This window comes from Homo sapiens, chromosome 12 (assembly GCF_000001405.40).
Source record: "Homo sapiens chromosome 12, GRCh38.p14 Primary Assembly".
NCBI classification, from domain to species: Eukaryota; Metazoa; Chordata; class Mammalia; order Primates; family Hominidae; genus Homo; species Homo sapiens.
The window spans coordinates 114667483-114684176 of record NC_000012.12 but is presented as its reverse complement, the minus strand read 5'-3'; the positions used below and the strand labels follow the sequence as shown (position 1 = coordinate 114684176).

Here is a 16694-nt window from a genome sequence, read left to right as displayed (position 1 = left end):
CAGACGCCCGGTGAATTCTAGAGGCGGCGGAGGGTGGCGAGGAGCTCTCGCTTTCTCTCGCTCCCTCCCTCTCCGACTCCGTCTCTCTCTCTCTCTCTCTCTCTCCCCTCCCTCTCTTTCCCTCTGTTCCATTTTTTCCCCCTCTAAATCCTCCCTGCCCTGCGCGCCTGGACACAGATTTAGGAAGCGAATTCGCTCACGTTTTAGGACAAGGAAGAGAGAGAGGCACGGGAGAAGAGCCCAGCAAGATTTGGATTGAAACCGAGACACCCTCCGGAGGCTCGGAGCAGAGGAAGGAGGAGGAGGGCGGCGAACGGAAGCCAGTTTGCAATTCAAGTTTTGATAGCGCTGGTAGAAGGGGGTTTAAATCAGATTTTTTTTTTTTTAAAGGAGAGAGACTTTTTCCGCTCTCTCGCTCCCTGTTAAAGCCGGGTCTAGCACAGCTGCAGACGCCACCAGCGAGAAAGAGGGAGAGGAAGACAGATAGGGGGCGGGGGAAGAAGAAAAAGAAAGGTAAAAAGTCTTCTAGGAGAACCTTTCACATTTGCAACAAAAGACCTAGGGGCTGGAGAGAGATTCCTGGGACGCAGGGCTGGAGTGTCTATTTCGAGCTCAGCGGCAGGGCTCGGGCGCGAGTCGAGACCCTGCTCGCTCCTCTCGCTTCTGAAACCGACGTTCAGGAGCGGCTTTTTAAAAACGCAAGGCACAAGGACGGTCACCCGCGCGACTATGTTTGCTGATTTTTCGCCTTGCCCTCTTTAAAAGCGGCCTCCCATTCTCCAAAAGACACTTCCCCTCCTCCCTTTGAAGTGCATTAGTTGTGATTTCTGCCTCCTTTTCTTTTTTCTTTCTTTTTTGTTTTGCTTTTTCCCCCCTTTTGAATTATGTGCTGCTGTTAAACAACAACAAAAAAACAACAAAACACAGCAGCTGCGGACTTGTCCCCGGCTGGAGCCCAGCGCCCCGCCTGGAGTGGATGAGCCTCTCCATGAGAGATCCGGTCATTCCTGGGACAAGCATGGCCTACCATCCGTTCCTACCTCACCGGGCGCCGGACTTCGCCATGAGCGCGGTGCTGGGTCACCAGCCGCCGTTCTTCCCCGCGCTGACGCTGCCTCCCAACGGCGCGGCGGCGCTCTCGCTGCCGGGCGCCCTGGCCAAGCCGATCATGGATCAATTGGTGGGGGCGGCCGAGACCGGCATCCCGTTCTCCTCCCTGGGGCCCCAGGCGCATCTGAGGCCTTTGAAGACCATGGAGCCCGAAGAAGAGGTGGAGGACGACCCCAAGGTGCACCTGGAGGCTAAAGAACTTTGGGATCAGTTTCACAAGCGGGGCACCGAGATGGTCATTACCAAGTCGGGAAGGTAAGCAGTGGGGGCCTCCTCCCCTAAGCTGTTGGAGAGTTTTTTCCTCCCTTTATTTCTCTGCTCCCAGAACAGTCGGTTGGTCGGTTATTACGGCTTGGACGAAAAGTTAGTTCCCCTAGAAATGTATGCACAGACTTCCAGGCCCTGCCCCGGTGGCAGGAAATTTCAGCTTACCTGGGCATCTGCATGGGTCTTGCATTTGGTCTGCATCCTGGGTTCCCTCCCGAACAGACAGAATTTTTCAGTGGAGCACAGACATCCCTGCAGGGAGCAGGAAAGAAAAAAAAAAAAGGCACTCTACTGCAAGAAACTCACTCTTCAAACCCTCCTGGAACATCCTTATTTCTTTGTTGATGTTGTGTTGTCTGTTTTATTTTGTTCTCAGAGAGAAAAACTTAAAGCCCTTTCCTTTTGTGTGGGTATTGGGAGGCCTGACACCATTCCCCGGCCCTTTCTGCCCTCCAGTCTAGCCTCTGGGTCTAAAGGGGCCTGCTGCTGCCCTGGTCAGAGAGAAATCGAAGGGCATTTTGGTTTGTTTGCCCACACTACTTCACGTGTCTGTAACCCAAGGGCGAGTTCAGCAGGCAATTTTGCATAATTTAAGATTATGTTTGCAGACTTAAGGAGCCAGTGAGGAGACACACACCTTTTTTTTAATGTGTGAATATTATCAACCATATTTTACATAATGTTTAAAGGTCCTTGCCTGACCAAAACCTGCCTGGAAGAGAAGATCCTGTAATAGTCATTTAAAATCACTGATTTTTTTTTTGTAATAGCATTGAAGCCTGTAAAGGCATAAAGTTGATACAAAAATAAAATCCCCTTCATGATATCTTAAGCGTTCTGTCTCCTTCCAAGCTAAATGAGGCCAAAGTTTGGCATAAAATCCTCCTCAAACTCACAAGACATTTAGTCAGTTTTCCAGCAAAGTGCTTCCTTGCTTCCTTTTAAGTCAAGACTACAGAATGCCAACCCTTCTGTGAAATTAACAGCAATGTGGTGGCACAGTCTTGCGGTTTTGGACTGGCCTAAGAAGTGGGGGAATGTGTTAGCAGCTCCACGGGCAGATCGGTTATCAGGCCCAGGAGTGCACCGAAGTCTGCAAAATTCGTTCTGGGAACTCACTGAAGTCCAGTTTCACTTCGCCCACAGCGGGATTGCTATTCTGCAGCAGGGAGGGGTGCAACTTGACGTTCATTTCCTTGATAAGTTTAACATTTTCTCATCAATGGGTGGTGGAAAATTCTAGTCTTAACTGACCGCGCTTTACAAAAATCTTACCCCAACCTGTTTAGATCTAGATACCCACAGAAAAAGACATGGGCAAGAATTTGCTCTCAGGAGGGCAATCTGTAAAGTCAAGCAAGGACAAAAAAAATATTGAAGAAATTGTTAGACAATGTAGAGAATTGCAGTGCCACAATGCATTTGTTTTGAACCTTGGGACGTCTAAATATGGCGAAACTGAGAATATTTAATACGTTAGTTGTGGAAGAAAACGATTTTGCAACCAGTTGCCTCACTCTGAAACATGTAAGCTTATCAGTCACAATATAAAGTCTTAGACTTGGTTTCAATATTATGTGATACATAGGAAATCAAACCCAAGATTACGGGTGGTTTATCTTTCTTTTTCTTTTCTATTCTTTCGTTTTATAGGCGAATGTTTCCTCCATTTAAAGTGAGATGTTCTGGGCTGGATAAAAAAGCCAAATACATTTTATTGATGGACATTATAGCTGCTGATGACTGTCGTTATAAATTTCACAATTCTCGGTGGATGGTGGCTGGTAAGGCCGACCCCGAAATGCCAAAGAGGATGTACATTCACCCGGACAGCCCCGCTACTGGGGAACAGTGGATGTCCAAAGTCGTCACTTTCCACAAACTGAAACTCACCAACAACATTTCAGACAAACATGGATTTGTAAGTTTCATTGCTCTCTTCAGTAAAATTTTCTCCTCCTTCACTCAGTCAAAGGCAGTGCTTCCCATTTCATGAGTTTCAGCCCAGACTTCTCCTTTGCTTCTCCCTAAGCATAGCAAACTTGTCCTCGTCTGGAAAAAGGATTCGGGGTGTTTCTCTCCAAATAATGGAAGGCCTGGCGTTCTAAAAGAAATGGGGCAAGAAAACTTACCGGCTTGTGTTCTATAGCAATTCCAGCTCTTTGGTAGATTCCTGACCTGAGAGTGAAGTTAAAAACCATTTTTTAAGAGCTAAAATCAATTTCAAGGCTATGTATTCCTAAAGGATTTGTTTTGTTTTAAAATATCATACTTCTGTTTTGAAACCAGTGATATTATTTTCTCAGGAGAGTTTACGTTTCGGAGCCTTGACTCTGTTGGTTAAATGGTGTGAATACATTTTTAAAAACTCGTTCTTTTACTAAAAAAAGAATTGGGCTTAGGTGGGAGTCCGGCTTACCCTAAATGAGGCTTAGATCTTCAGAAAAAAATGGTTTGTGTGTTGGGAGTGTATATATGGATTCAGTGACAGTGCTTAGAAACTTAGAAAACTTTCATTGCTTGTAGATATCAGGCAAAGGACCTTTTGCGCCTTTTCCTACCCCTCCCCAACATTTCAATAAAATAAACAGCGTGATAAGCAAGGAGTAAGCAGAAAGATTAGGCCCAGGAAGACGCGAATGGCGCGGAAATATCTTCAGCGGGCAGGAATTGCATTTGAAGCCCTTGATTTGATTAAGGCATAAATATTCCTCTCTAGAGTTCAGCCTTTCAGGGCTTTAAGTGGATTGGGCTCGTCAATTAGTGGGCGCTTAAAGTACTGAATCATTTTGTAAATTAAAATGCATGTTTTTCTCTATCTTTTAAGACTTTGGCCTTCCCAAGTGATCACGCTACGTGGCAGGGGAATTATAGTTTTGGTACTCAGGTAGGCTAGGGTTCAAGGTATGAATGATCCTTAGATGGTGAGGGTGGGGGGGGCCCTTTGGCAACTGAGGAGCAATTTGGATTCTCCAGAAGATAACATCTGTGGAGCGAAACGTACCCAGGGGGTACTCCAAGGAGGTGGGCTCGGTACAAGCGTGGTACCCTGCGGTGGGGAAGATTTCAGCCTGGCAGGGGTCCTAAGATCCCGTTTGTTCTGCTAAATCCTTGTTTTATGTATGTCTCCTCTTCCCTGCCCCTGCAGACTATATTGAACTCCATGCACAAATACCAGCCCCGGTTCCACATTGTAAGAGCCAATGACATCTTGAAACTCCCTTATAGTACATTTCGGACATACTTGTTCCCCGAAACTGAATTCATCGCTGTGACTGCATACCAGAATGATAAGGTAAACTCAAGGGGCTTTCCTTTTTAATGGTGATATTTTGCCTTCCCCTTAAAAGCTGCTTTAAGTCAGGATGAGAAAGTTACAAGAGAGTGGAGACGAGAGTCTTGAGTTGTCTTTTGTGATTTGTGGAGCATTTGGGGGGAAAGGACAATGACACCTCGAGGAGACAGAAAAACACCTTGACTAGGTAGGAACAATGCTGAGCAAAAAAACGCCATACTAATTTTGCCACAGAGAAACTCCTAGAACTGCTGTCATTGATGCCACCCACTCCTCCCCCCCTCTTGGGCTTTGTCCTGTCTGTTTTAAGGTTCATCTTCTTCCCCTTGGGGAAGAAGGATCAAGAAGTCACATTCAAAAGGAACCAGCTAAAAATTTAAGGCAAAAGCCATTTGGGATCCTGGGAGGAGAATCCTAGTAGAGACCAGCTTTTCTCCCCTAGCCAGAAATCCTGAGTAGCTGGTCTGGTTTTTATTACCTTTTATGCTGCTGTGTTATGATGTGTGTGTGTGTGTGCATGTGTGTGCATGCATGCGTGTGGTTGGAAAAACCTACCCTGATCACAGGGTCATATTAATCGAGTTGTCTGAGGCTTTTGAGTTGGGGTGGCCAAAGTCACCACTTCATTTGAATTCCCCCCCTCCCCCAGGCCTGAATCTGGAGGTTAGAAGGATCCCCAAAAGGGAAAGCACCTGATATCTAGAGCTATGGTGGCCTGAAGGTCATGGGCACAGAAAAAGTGACCCTTACTGCTGATTCACCAGTTCCCAGATTGGCTGTTAGCAGTTATGGGGTGGGAGGAGGGACTGAAGACCCCTGCTCTGCAATCCTGGACTTCAAAGAGAGTCCATTTTACCTGACAACACACTTCATTTTGAACTCACTGTCATTGTCACTGTCCTTGGGTCCTCTGTGGACTTCATGATGGGGATGTTCCAGCTAAATTTCTTTAGTGTGAATACCAAAACATGATCTTCTCTCCCTGTGAAACCTGAAGTCTTCAATAGAGCAATTTATTCCAAGAACATGAATCCAACCAAGGGTCCCCCTTTCCACCTCTGAGTAACTCTGTGTATATAACTTCTTCTTCCCACCAAGGGGAAGGGATTTGAAAGATTACACACTATAGCATTTTTCTCAAAGTGCAAAATGCATGTGCCCTCTAGACCCAGAATCCTGTGAAATGAAGTTGTTAATGTAATAATAAAATGTAGCATTTTTGATCAGACAAAAAGGCCATGGGCCTTCTCCACCTAATGGCCATGGCAGAGCATATAAATGAAAACAGATGTTTCCAGTGGTCATTCAGTACTGTAACTGTCAATATTGTAATTTCCTCAAACCACCCCCCAGGCAAAGAAAAAAAAAATTAAACTCACTCCCGCACTCACTCCCGCACAAGGGTAGTGAAACCCCATAAATCATTTATTGGATTCATGGAAAAGGAGTGTGTGTGTGTGTGTGTGTGTGTGTGTGTGTGTGTGAAGGGAGTATGCTATAATTTATGATTAATTGCACTGTATAAAAATCAAAATGAAAGCATAATTTTAAGATCTACAGGTTTTCCCTCTTGATGACTTTGACAACACTTCCATGTCTAAACCCAAACTGTTGGCTGCCCAAAGAAAAGAATTTCTTTGAATAATTTCATCCCCAAATCCCTGGTTTGGCCTCATATAGGAGATACAAGCCCTGCCACAGTTTCCTTATTATCTCCTTTCCCTGGCATATCTATATGACTTCTGTTGGCAGTCACATCTCTAGACTTGTTGAGTTGGGAAAAACACCCTCAAAACATTCTAGAAAATGAGAACAATGTCTCTGTCTTGCTTGTGTCTCTTCCAATAGATAACCCAGTTAAAAATAGACAACAACCCTTTTGCAAAAGGTTTCCGGGACACTGGAAATGGCCGAAGAGAAAAAAGGTGAGTTGAAACAATTATTTATTAGATAGTTTAGAAAAATCCCTTTTTTTAGGATCCAACTCTGAAGTGTTAGAAGTGAGATGCAGGCACTTATCCTAAGAGCGGGTGGAAATCATTCACTTTCCCCACTGCTACATGCTTGCCGCTATCAGTATACCCAGGACAAGTACTTTTCCTACCTCCTTACCTTTAAGGAAATTAACTAGGCTACACCATACTTATCTCTGGAAGAGAAGCATCAGGGATAATAGATTATACAGGGATGCCTATTAATTCCTAATTAATTTAAGTTCATCCTAGGCAGGTCCCAGAAAGAACCATGCCATTGAGAAAATACTTGGGAATTTTTGCAATCCTGTCTTCCAAATACCATCAGACAGAGCTGGGGACTTCGGAAAGATGTATGGCTCTCTCCCTCCTTCGTGGGGACATGTATCATTTTGCATTACGTAGACAGCTGGAGAGTATATGAAAGAGGGTCTCCCCTCCCCCACCCCCTTTCAAAGAATTTCTAAAATCCAGAAAATCACCCCCAAATTTTTAACCTATCCCCTTGGGGCGGGCATTAAAAAATAATTGCTAACAGCTAAATATATTTTTATTCCAATTAATTTGTTAGTAAAACGATTACAGTAAAGTGCAGCATGAAATAACCACTTCCTCCCAATCTTAGCCACCATCCAAAATTTGGGTATGCTGGGGACAGACAGCGTTGTGTTTGCAGGATTGGACACCCGGTTCTCCCTATATAAGGCTGGCAGTCCAGCTGTCTCTGACTAGATCCAGCCTCTTCTCCTGCTTTTAAATAAAATTTCACAGCCCAAGCAAATGCCTTTTCCTAATGAAACCCCATCTTGAATAAATGCAACTGAAGCCTCCTTCCTTTCTCCCTAACCCTCTGCCACACTCTTCAGCCCAGTTAGAGGGTCAAGGACAAAGCTTGGGTCTATGTGGCTGCCCTGGGGCAAGCAGATTTCAGTGAATTAGCGTTGTCCCTGGGCAGCAGGCAGGGTGTGAGGTATGTGTGTGCCGCTTTGGAAAGGGTAAGGGAAACAAAGAGGGGAAATGTATGTTACATTCTGTAACCTGGGTGTGGGCTTCTGCCACAGAAAACAGCTCACCCTGCAGTCCATGAGGGTGTTTGATGAAAGACACAAAAAGGAGAATGGGACCTCTGATGAGTCCTCCAGTGAACAAGCAGCTTTCAACTGCTTCGCCCAGGCTTCTTCTCCAGCCGCCTCCACTGTAGGGACATCGAACCTCAAAGGTAAACCATGTCACCTTTGTGATCACTGGACTCCAGTCCCTCGTGGCCTGGAAGAGTTGAAGGGGGATGGGGCACCAACCAGGGCACTTGCCCTTTAAAAGCTAGAAGCCTTCTAAACATCCTTAAACAGAAGCCAGAGTTCAAAAAGGGCTATCAGGTGTGTCTCCCCTTCCCCGCTAAGGCAGTAGAAGGAGAGCACAGAGGCCTTTCTCCCAGATCCTTATTTGGCTGGTGGGGAGGGGAGGTGGGTGTCTGTTTGCATACTACCTCTTGGCAAGCAGCTTTGAAAACTTGCTTGAAGCGCTTCTCTCTTTTCTCTCTGTCTCTGTTTCTTTCTCCTCCCATTCTCTCCAACCAACAGAGGCTCCAACTGCTGACTTTTCACTGTCTTTGAACTCTAGGTTACAATGTGTTGGACTGGGTGGGGGGGAAGCAAGGGACTCTGCCACCTGGAACCGAGAAGGTGGCCTAGAAAACATCCAGCTATAAAGCAACAATTGACCTGGGAGAGGAGGTGGAGCACTGGGGATCTGCGGTGGGGGTAGAGCTGGGGGAGGTGGGTGAGGAGTGGACAAGATGGCTCAAATCCCCCCTCAGTTACCTGTGTTTAAAGAGCAAGCAGTATTTATTTGGAAAGACACACACACACACACACACACACACACACACACACACACACTCTCAACGGGAAGAAACCTGTTTTTTAGTGAAATAAAATGCAAGTCCTTTATGTCTTCAATCCATTTAAGCTTTAAACATAAAATAGGATCCCTTTTTCTTTTCTTCTGGTGGAACACCCACAGAGGGTGTGGTAAAAGCGAAAAAAGAATCTATGATCGTCCCCGGGCTGTGAGCCATCTGTCCGACACTCATCTCTCTCTGCAGGGACTGGGGCAAATACAAACGGTTCAACTGAGTACTGGTGTTGAAGGACAGGTGTCCGTTCTGCCATTATCAATTCAGATGTCAGGGTTCTTGCCAAACAAATCCTTCCAGAGTAATTCACAAATTTGTGGAAGGTGCTGCTCTCTGTCATTCACTGATTTTTTGATAGTAATTAGAATATGTTCCAGCTGTGAGTTTTAATGTTACTTTTTACTTTTAAAAAGTTAATTTGCAATCGAATGGGGAGATGCATGTGAAATCTGCCACTGTAGGAACTCAAAAAAAGAAGTAAAATTCATTAAAATAAGAAGAGCTACTGATTAGGGGATTGTCCATCTAAGGGAAAGTTTAAACTCTGGGTAAATACTTTAAATTCATAATCGCTTATTGAATTTTCCAGCAATGTTGTTGGGCACGATTATCCCCATTTTGCAGATGACAACACTGAGGTGCAGAGAGGCTAAGGGGCTTTCCCCGGGATTACACAGCCACTAAGCCACGAGCTGGGATTCCAACTTGGGAACTGGAGTTCCGTTGGCTCATACTGGAGATAACGCCCTTCTGCCTTGGTTTTTTCCTTCGCCTGTGGTAGATTTATGTCCCAGCGAGGGTGAGAGCGACGCCGAGGCCGAGAGCAAAGAGGAGCATGGCCCCGAGGCCTGCGACGCGGCCAAGATCTCCACCACCACGTCGGAGGAGCCCTGCCGTGACAAGGGCAGCCCCGCGGTCAAGGCTCACCTTTTCGCTGCTGAGCGGCCCCGGGACAGCGGGCGGCTGGACAAAGCGTCGCCCGACTCACGCCATAGCCCCGCCACCATCTCGTCCAGCACTCGCGGCCTGGGCGCGGAGGAGCGCAGGAGCCCGGTTCGCGAGGGCACAGCGCCGGCCAAGGTGGAAGAGGCGCGCGCGCTCCCGGGCAAGGAGGCCTTCGCGCCGCTCACGGTGCAGACGGACGCGGCCGCCGCGCACCTGGCCCAGGGCCCCCTGCCTGGCCTCGGCTTCGCCCCGGGCCTGGCGGGCCAACAGTTCTTCAACGGGCACCCGCTCTTCCTGCACCCCAGCCAGTTTGCCATGGGGGGCGCCTTCTCCAGCATGGCGGCCGCTGGCATGGGTCCCCTCCTGGCCACGGTTTCTGGGGCCTCCACCGGTGTCTCGGGCCTGGATTCCACGGCCATGGCCTCTGCCGCTGCGGCGCAGGGACTGTCCGGGGCGTCCGCGGCCACCCTGCCCTTCCACCTCCAGCAGCACGTCCTGGCCTCTCAGGTATGGATCCTTCTTCCTGCCTCCACCAGTCTTTCCACCTTTCGTCCAGTTTCCCTGTCCTTTGCCAGCAGACCCTCACCCGATCCCTTTGGCCTAGTAGCTGTAATAATTTTTACTGAGCCATTACCGGGTTCAAGGCTTAGCTCATGGAGTTATTATGACTTCATTCTCCCCATTCACCCCAAAAATCTTTAAAATTTTTCCGAAGTTAAAGGCTGTTTCCAGCAGAGTAGATAGGTAGTAACAAAGATAACAGCTGGACACAGCACTTACTTTCAGGCATTCTTCTAAGTGCTTGCTCTGTATTGACTCATTTGACCTAACCCTTCAGGGGTACTATTATCACCTCCACTTTACAGATGAAGGCGAAGACGCCCAGAGATGTTGAGTGACTTGTCCAAGGTCACACAGCGGGTACATGGTGGAGCTGAGACTCAACCCCAGGCTATCTGACTCCAGGGCCTCTTTGAGGGTTTCTGATTTTAGCTTCAGAGCTGACATGTCTCTTAAGTGTCTCATAGCCAACCCTTCCCCAGGAATGGGACTCTAGGCCTGGGGAGGGGAAGTGACTACTTCCTGAGTAGGAGTTCAGTCTTGATTCCTCCAGCCTTTCCTCCCAGTTCGAAGCTCTTCTCCCCACCCCCAACCCCAAGCAGGCCAGCCTATTCCTCGAAGGGTTAATGGTTTGTGCACACGTGGGAAATGTCAGAGGACAGGGATAAGCAGGGACTGGGGCAGGCCTGGAGGCCTGTGTGTGGCTCAGACAGCTGTGCTGGGGGGAGGTCTCAGGCGGCTGGAAACACCCTGAACTCGATGAAAAGGTTCTATGAGGTTTTGCATGCTGTTGCCTTTTGTTTTGTCTGAGCACATTCGTCTGGTCTCCCTTCCCTGCGCCAAGAAACCAGATTGGCCTCCCCACTCCAGGGAGGAGGGAGCTGAGGAAAGGCTTGGCTTCTGGCATTTCTCAATTCCTCCCATCTCCTCTGCTGGCTTCTCCGGGAGACCCTGTCCTAGGTGGGCAGGTGGTTGGTACACCAAGGACTACCTGAACAGACAAAACCTTAAGGGCACCTCAAGGCATGATGCAGAGAACTGGCCCAGGCCAGGGTGCCTGCATCTTAAATGCTGCTTCTGCCAATTCCCAGCTTAGTGCACTCCTGAACTCCTGCGGCCTACCTCGGCTTCTCACCTGGAACACCAGTGAATCATGCTGGACGATTTCTTTGTCTCTGTTTATAACAAATGCCCTTTTTCCCTCCCCCAGCCCCAGTTTCCTTTTGCTTAAGATCTTCACTGTCTGTTTTTTTTGTTTTGTTTTGTTTTGTTTGGAGAAACTTCTAGGATTGGGGTGGGAGGATGGGGGTTGGGGAAGAAGAAAGATTTAAAAAATTATTCCTACTAATTTATGTCCTCCGGCTTCCCCTTGGTTACCTCTGTGGGGTAAACTGAATCTGTATCCCCATTTAACAGGTGCAAGGAGATTTCCTGGGGGCTGCACACACTGTGTGCAGCATATTGCAGGCTTTCACTCATTTAATATCTACAAAGTCCTCAATAAGTATATGAATTACTTATGATTTCCCTGTTTTTTCTTCCTATAAGGAAGCTGAGGCACAAGTTAATCAAAGTCTCTTGGCCTAGGGTGACACAGCTAAGATTTGTACCTAGAGATTTCTGAGTGTTGACTTCTCTCCTGCCCCCACCTATCTCCCCCCCCAAAAAAAAAAACACAACAACAACAACAACAGAACATACCAGGGATTCATGGCTTGCCCAATGTTGGAGGGGGAGAAGAGAGGAGAGGGATGAGATAAGCTCCTCCCACCCGGCTGACTCGCTGTGTGTCTCTTTTCTCACCCCAGGGCCTGGCCATGTCCCCTTTCGGAAGCCTGTTCCCTTACCCCTACACGTACATGGCCGCAGCGGCGGCCGCCTCCTCTGCGGCAGCCTCCAGCTCGGTGCACCGCCACCCCTTCCTCAATCTGAACACCATGCGCCCGCGGCTGCGCTACAGCCCCTACTCCATCCCGGTGCCGGTCCCGGACGGCAGCAGTCTGCTCACCACCGCCCTGCCCTCCATGGCGGCGGCCGCGGGGCCCCTGGACGGCAAAGTCGCCGCCCTGGCCGCCAGCCCGGCCTCGGTGGCAGTGGACTCGGGCTCTGAACTCAACAGCCGCTCCTCCACGCTCTCCTCCAGCTCCATGTCCTTGTCGCCCAAACTCTGCGCGGAGAAAGAGGCGGCCACCAGCGAACTGCAGAGCATCCAGCGGTTGGTTAGCGGCTTGGAAGCCAAGCCGGACAGGTCCCGCAGCGCGTCCCCGTAGACCCGTCCCAGACACGTCTTTTCATTCCAGTCCAGTTCAGGCTGCCGTGCACTTTGTCGGATATAAAATAAACCACGGGCCCGCCATGGCGTTAGCCCTTCCTTTTGCAGTTGCGTCTGGGAAGGGGCCCCGGACTCCCTCGAGAGAATGTGCTAGAGACAGCCCCTGTCTTCTTGGCGTGGTTTATATGTCCGGGATCTGGATCAGATTCTGGGGGCTCAGAAACGTCGGTTGCATTGAGCTACTGGGGGTAGGAGTTCCAACATTTATGTCCAGAGCAACTTCCAGCAAGGCTGGTCTGGGTCTCTGCCCACCAGGCGGGGAGGTGTTCAAAGACATCTCCCTCAGTGCGGATTTATATATATATTTTTCCTTCACTGTGTCAAGTGGAAACAAAAACAAAATCTTTCAAAAAAAAAATCGGGACAAGTGAACACATTAACATGATTCTGTTTGTGCAGATTAAAAACTTTATAGGGACTTGCATTATCGGTTCTCAATAAATTACTGAGCAGCTTTGTTTGGGGAGGGAAGTCCCTACCATCCTTGTTTAGTCTATATTAAGAAAATCTGTGTCTTTTTAATATTCTTGTGATGTTTTCAGAGCCGCTGTAGGTCTCTTCTTGCATGTCCACAGTAATGTATTTGTGGTTTTTATTTTGAACGCTTGCTTTTAGAGAGAAAACAATATAGCCCCCTACCCTTTTCCCAATCCTTTGCCCTCAAATCAGTGACCCAAGGGAGGGGGGGATTTAAAGGGAAGGAGTGGGCAAAACACATAAAATGAATTTATTATATCTAAGCTCTGTAGCAGGATTCATGTCGTTCTTTGACAGTTCTTTCTCTTTCCTGTATATGCAATAACAAGGTTTTAAAAAAATAATAAAGAAGTGAGACTATTAGACAAAGTATTTATGTAATTATTTGATAACTCTTGTAAATAGGTGGAATATGAATGCTTGGAAAATTAAACTTTAATTTATTGACATTGTACATAGCTCTGTGTAAATAGAATTGCAACTGTCAGGTTTTGTGTTCTTGTTTTCCTTTAGTTGGGTTTATTTCCAGGTCACAGAATTGCTGTTAACACTAGAAAACACACTTCCTGCACCAACACCAATACCCTTTCAAAAGAGTTGTCTGCAACATTTTTGTTTTCTTTTTTAATGTCCAAAAGTGGGGGAAAGTGCTATTTCCTATTTTCACCAAAATTGGGGAAGGAGTGCCACTTTCCAGCTCCACTTCAAATTCCTTAAAATATAACTGAGATTGCTGTGGGGAGGGAGGAGGGCAGAGGCTGCGGTTTGACTTTTTAATTTTTCTTTTGTTATTTGTATTTGCTAGTCTCTGATTTCCTCAAAACGAAGTGGAATTTACTACTGTTGTCAGTATCGGTGTTTTGAATTGGTGCCTGCCTATAGAGATATATTCACAGTTCAAAAGTCAGGTGCTGAGAGATGGTTTAAAGACAAATTCATGAAGGTATATTTTGTGTTATAGTTGTTGATGAGTTCTTTGGTTTTCTGTATTTTTCCCCCTCTCTTTAAAACATCACTGAAATTTCAATAAATTTTTATTGAAATGTCTTTGGGCCTTGTGTTAAATGTTTTTTCTTTGGGAACCTTTCCTGAAGATGGACAGTCAGGGGAGGGTTTAGTATCTTCTTGTTCTGAGTTTACCCCCTTCCCTTCGCCTTTAAATAATTAAGACCGCCCCCAGCGAACCAAAATGAGATGTCACTCAAGTTACAAAGCTAAAAACAAAAGTCCCTTACTTGAGCGAAGGGAGCCACTTCAATCTGAAATTACTTTTCCTTTAAATTAGGGAGCAAAGCAGGGAGACGGAAAGGGGCCTGATGAGAATACAGAAAGAAGGGTAATTTCAGATACTTTTAAGTTTTAATGGAAAAAGACTGATGTGCTCCCTAAGTCAGGTTTTCCCACCCGAATCCGACCAAAAGTAAGCTCGGCAAGTACGAATGTTTTTCGTTTTAAGCTCGCCCTCAGTTTTGACATCAATCTGGCGAATCCAAGTCGAAAATACCTTCTTGCACCAGTGTGTTTGGCTCGGGGAAAAGGCCAGCAGAATGCCCCAGCAGTCCGAGCGGGCTTGGCTAGGCAGCAACCCTCCAGGTTGTAGAAGTGGACAAGACGCAACGCCTTTCCACTCGGCAACCCCCCACACAGCCTGCAGTCCCTGGTGCCTCAAATTGAACCCGGCTGGCCCAAGGCGCCCCTACGAGGCCCCATCCATCCCGAGTTGTGCGTGCAAAGCGCGGCCAGCTCCGCGAAAACTTAGCTGTGTCACGCGAGGGAGGAGGGAAATTATCCCCGAAAGGGGAAAGGTAATTCCAGGGTGCACATTTCACCCCCTCCACGGCAAAAGTCACCCAGGAGGCTGACATCCTCCCCTAGTCTCCCCTTCAAACCCGTCTCCAGGCTGTTCGGGGAGTTGCCTTTTGAAGTTCAATTTATCTTTGAAACATTCAATAAAAAATGATGAGGCACTGTCAGTCTTTTGGTCTCCCGACCCCCAGCCTCGCCTCCGAGGTGTGTGTCTGTTGGGGGGCGGGGGCGGCACGGGAAGGTTCGAGGGTTAGTCCTTAGCCCTTTTCTTGCCCTGGGGGCCATGACGTGAAGACCCAGCTGGAGCCTGCCTGGCGGCTGCCTCCCTCCCCACCCCCCACCCGCCACCCCCTGGAGCCCGCCAGCCCGGCCCCAAGTCCCTGTCACCTTCAGGCCTCTTGAATGACCGGAGAGGAGGACGCCCCCTCCCTTCCCTCATCCTGTACTTGGAAGGGATCGAGGTCGAGACCTTTTGGAGAGCGGGGCAAAGCCCCTTCCATCTCTGGCCAGGCACGTGGGGACCCCTACAGCCTCCTCTGCGATGTCTCCGGGGGTGGGAGGGAAGACAGACAACCAGAGTATGTTGGTGCGGAGTCGCGGGGGGGGGGAGGGGCGGGGTGCGCTGCGGGGGTGGCAGGGCCTGAGCTGAGACGGGCCCTGGGGACCTTTGAGGCTGGGGCTCCCCCGAGGACTGGGAGATTTCCAGGGCGCGCTCCTTCTGCGCAGCGGCTACAGCCTGAAGGGGGCAGCTCTGGATCCAGCGACAACGCGCGGTGTCCGCGCCTCTGAGAAGGTGGTAGTTGGCTGGTTGCGCTCTCCCGAATTGGGGAAAAAAGAACTCAGCCTCCAAAAGGGAAGAAATGCTTTGCTTTTCTCTTCTTTCTCAGTCCAAATTTGCTTACCTCCTCCCTTCTCTCCCCCCGCCCCCGATTTGGGGACCCTGCTCAGACTTGTGTCCAGCCTCTCTTACTGGCGTTCCTCTTTTTTTTTTTTTTTTTTTTTTAATCTCCTGTGTATCTCATTTGTATATTGTGATGTTAATGAGTAACTCCTGTAGCGCTGATGGGCGGGGGGTGGAGGGGATGAACGGCTCGCAGTCTCTCTGGATTTTGCTGCCTATTACTCACCTGGCGCCGGTCGCAATCTCGCCGCAGGCTTTATGGTGGCTGCGGCCGCCCCAGAGGCCACTCAGGGCAGGCGCCTTCGCCTTTTTTCTGGGCTTCGAGTGCCACCTATCTGTCTCGTCTACGAATGCGTCCAGGTCGCCGCAGCTGGCTCGGCACCCCAGCGCCTCCCGGGTTCCGGAACTTGGGCGCTTCGCCTTCGCCCCTTCTCATCCCCACCACTCCCAGCCCCACTCCCCTCCTCCTCCGTCCCCAGCCCCATTCTCAGCCTCGGAAGAAGCTGCCTTCCCCTCTTTCCTGGATATCACTTTCACTCCCGTTTGTGCCTCAGATGAGAAAAACAGCCCTGCCCTCCTCTGGGTTTCCAAAGAATGTTAGAAAATTCAGTGCGGGAACCCTGGCTCGTAATTCTCTGGACAAGTTCCTTGCTGCTTGTAGAAATCTCTAGACCCTTGTTCTGGACCCCGCCTGGCGGGGGATAACCTGAATTCGCGATGGGTCGATAGAGAAAGGATACCTCCTTCCCCAACATACACACCTCAAATTCTGCCCTGGGGACAACTTGCCAGTACCAGGATGCTCTCTTTTTTACTCCACAACTTTGGAAGTTTTTGTTTTTTAACCTGGCCGCGTCTACAAGGACAAAGGCCATGACTCGCGGGAGCAGCAGTCCCTACGAGGGTCAGCTACCGCAGCCTGCAGGGCCCAGCACCTTCGTGACTTGTAGATTTAAGGTGACAAATGCGGGTGCCGGTCAGAGGCCTCCAACCCCTGCCTGTCGGGAAGGTCGGCTCCAGTCCTGGCTGCGCCCTGGAGTCTGAGACCCGCGGAGGGGAGGGGATGGGGTCGCCTTTTGCTGTGCTTTGAGCCGCGGGTGAAGGCGTCCGGG

The 16694-nt window shown here is 48.8% G+C and overlaps 1 protein-coding gene and 1 long non-coding RNA gene across 3 annotated transcripts in view, besides 3 other annotated features; one reads left to right on the top strand and one right to left on the bottom strand.

Moving 5' to 3' along the window:
• The window catches only part of TBX3-AS1 (TBX3 antisense RNA 1), an 85697-nt gene extending 83812 nt beyond the window's left edge, over window positions 1–1885 (bottom strand). The window contains exon 1 of the long non-coding RNA NR_187552.1: window positions 1543–1885. This is a non-coding gene — a long non-coding RNA (TBX3 antisense RNA 1). The remainder of the gene's footprint in view (window positions 1–1542) is intronic.
• Window positions 2–13922, top strand: TBX3 (T-box transcription factor 3). 2 transcript variants are annotated; one of them, NM_016569.4, is made up of 8 exons: window positions 2–1365; window positions 3031–3298; window positions 4205–4264; window positions 4526–4672; window positions 6521–6597; window positions 7707–7864; window positions 9342–10012; window positions 11875–13922. In NM_016569.4, the coding sequence occupies exons 1-8, from the start codon at window positions 977–979 to the stop codon at window positions 12334–12336; spliced, it is 2232 nt and encodes a 743-aa protein (NP_057653.3). In that variant the 5' UTR covers window positions 2–976; the 3' UTR covers window positions 12337–13922. The 2 variants fall into 2 exon arrangements, with proteins under 2 accessions (NP_057653.3, NP_005987.3); NM_005996.4 differs by lacking the exon at window positions 4205–4264.
• Window positions 7944–8445: an enhancer, noted in NCBI's record as "NANOG hESC enhancer chr12:115113537-115114038 (GRCh37/hg19 assembly coordinates)". NCBI's record gives its function as "activates a minimal SCP1, AML or CMV promoter by ChIP-STARR-seq in naive H9 embryonic stem cells {active_cell/tissue: H9 hESC(naive)}" and the evidence as "EXISTENCE:reporter gene assay evidence [ECO:0000049][PMID:30033119]".
• Window positions 11546–12105: an enhancer, noted in NCBI's record as "H3K27ac-H3K4me1 hESC enhancer chr12:115109877-115110436 (GRCh37/hg19 assembly coordinates)". NCBI's record gives its function as "activates a minimal SCP1, AML or CMV promoter by ChIP-STARR-seq in primed H9 embryonic stem cells {active_cell/tissue: H9 hESC(primed)}" and the evidence as "EXISTENCE:reporter gene assay evidence [ECO:0000049][PMID:30033119]".
• Window positions 12106–12666: an enhancer, noted in NCBI's record as "H3K27ac-H3K4me1 hESC enhancer chr12:115109316-115109876 (GRCh37/hg19 assembly coordinates)". NCBI's record gives its function as "activates a minimal SCP1, AML or CMV promoter by ChIP-STARR-seq in primed H9 embryonic stem cells {active_cell/tissue: H9 hESC(primed)}" and the evidence as "EXISTENCE:reporter gene assay evidence [ECO:0000049][PMID:30033119]".

What these genes read in the sequence shown, in the direction of transcription:
- TBX3 (NM_016569.4), top strand. Translation starts at nt 977, where the DNA reads ATGAGCCTCTCCATGAGAGATCCGGTCATTCCTGGGACAAGCATGGCC. An exon ending in GTCATTACCAAGTCGGGAAG is followed by an intron (nt 1,366 to 3,030) that starts GTAAGCAGTGGG and finishes TTCGTTTTATAG; the next exon opens with GCGAATGTTTCCTCCATTTA. An exon ending in ATTATAGTTTTGGTACTCAG is followed by an intron (nt 4,265 to 4,525) that starts GTAGGCTAGGGT and finishes CTGCCCCTGCAG; the next exon opens with ACTATATTGAACTCCATGCA.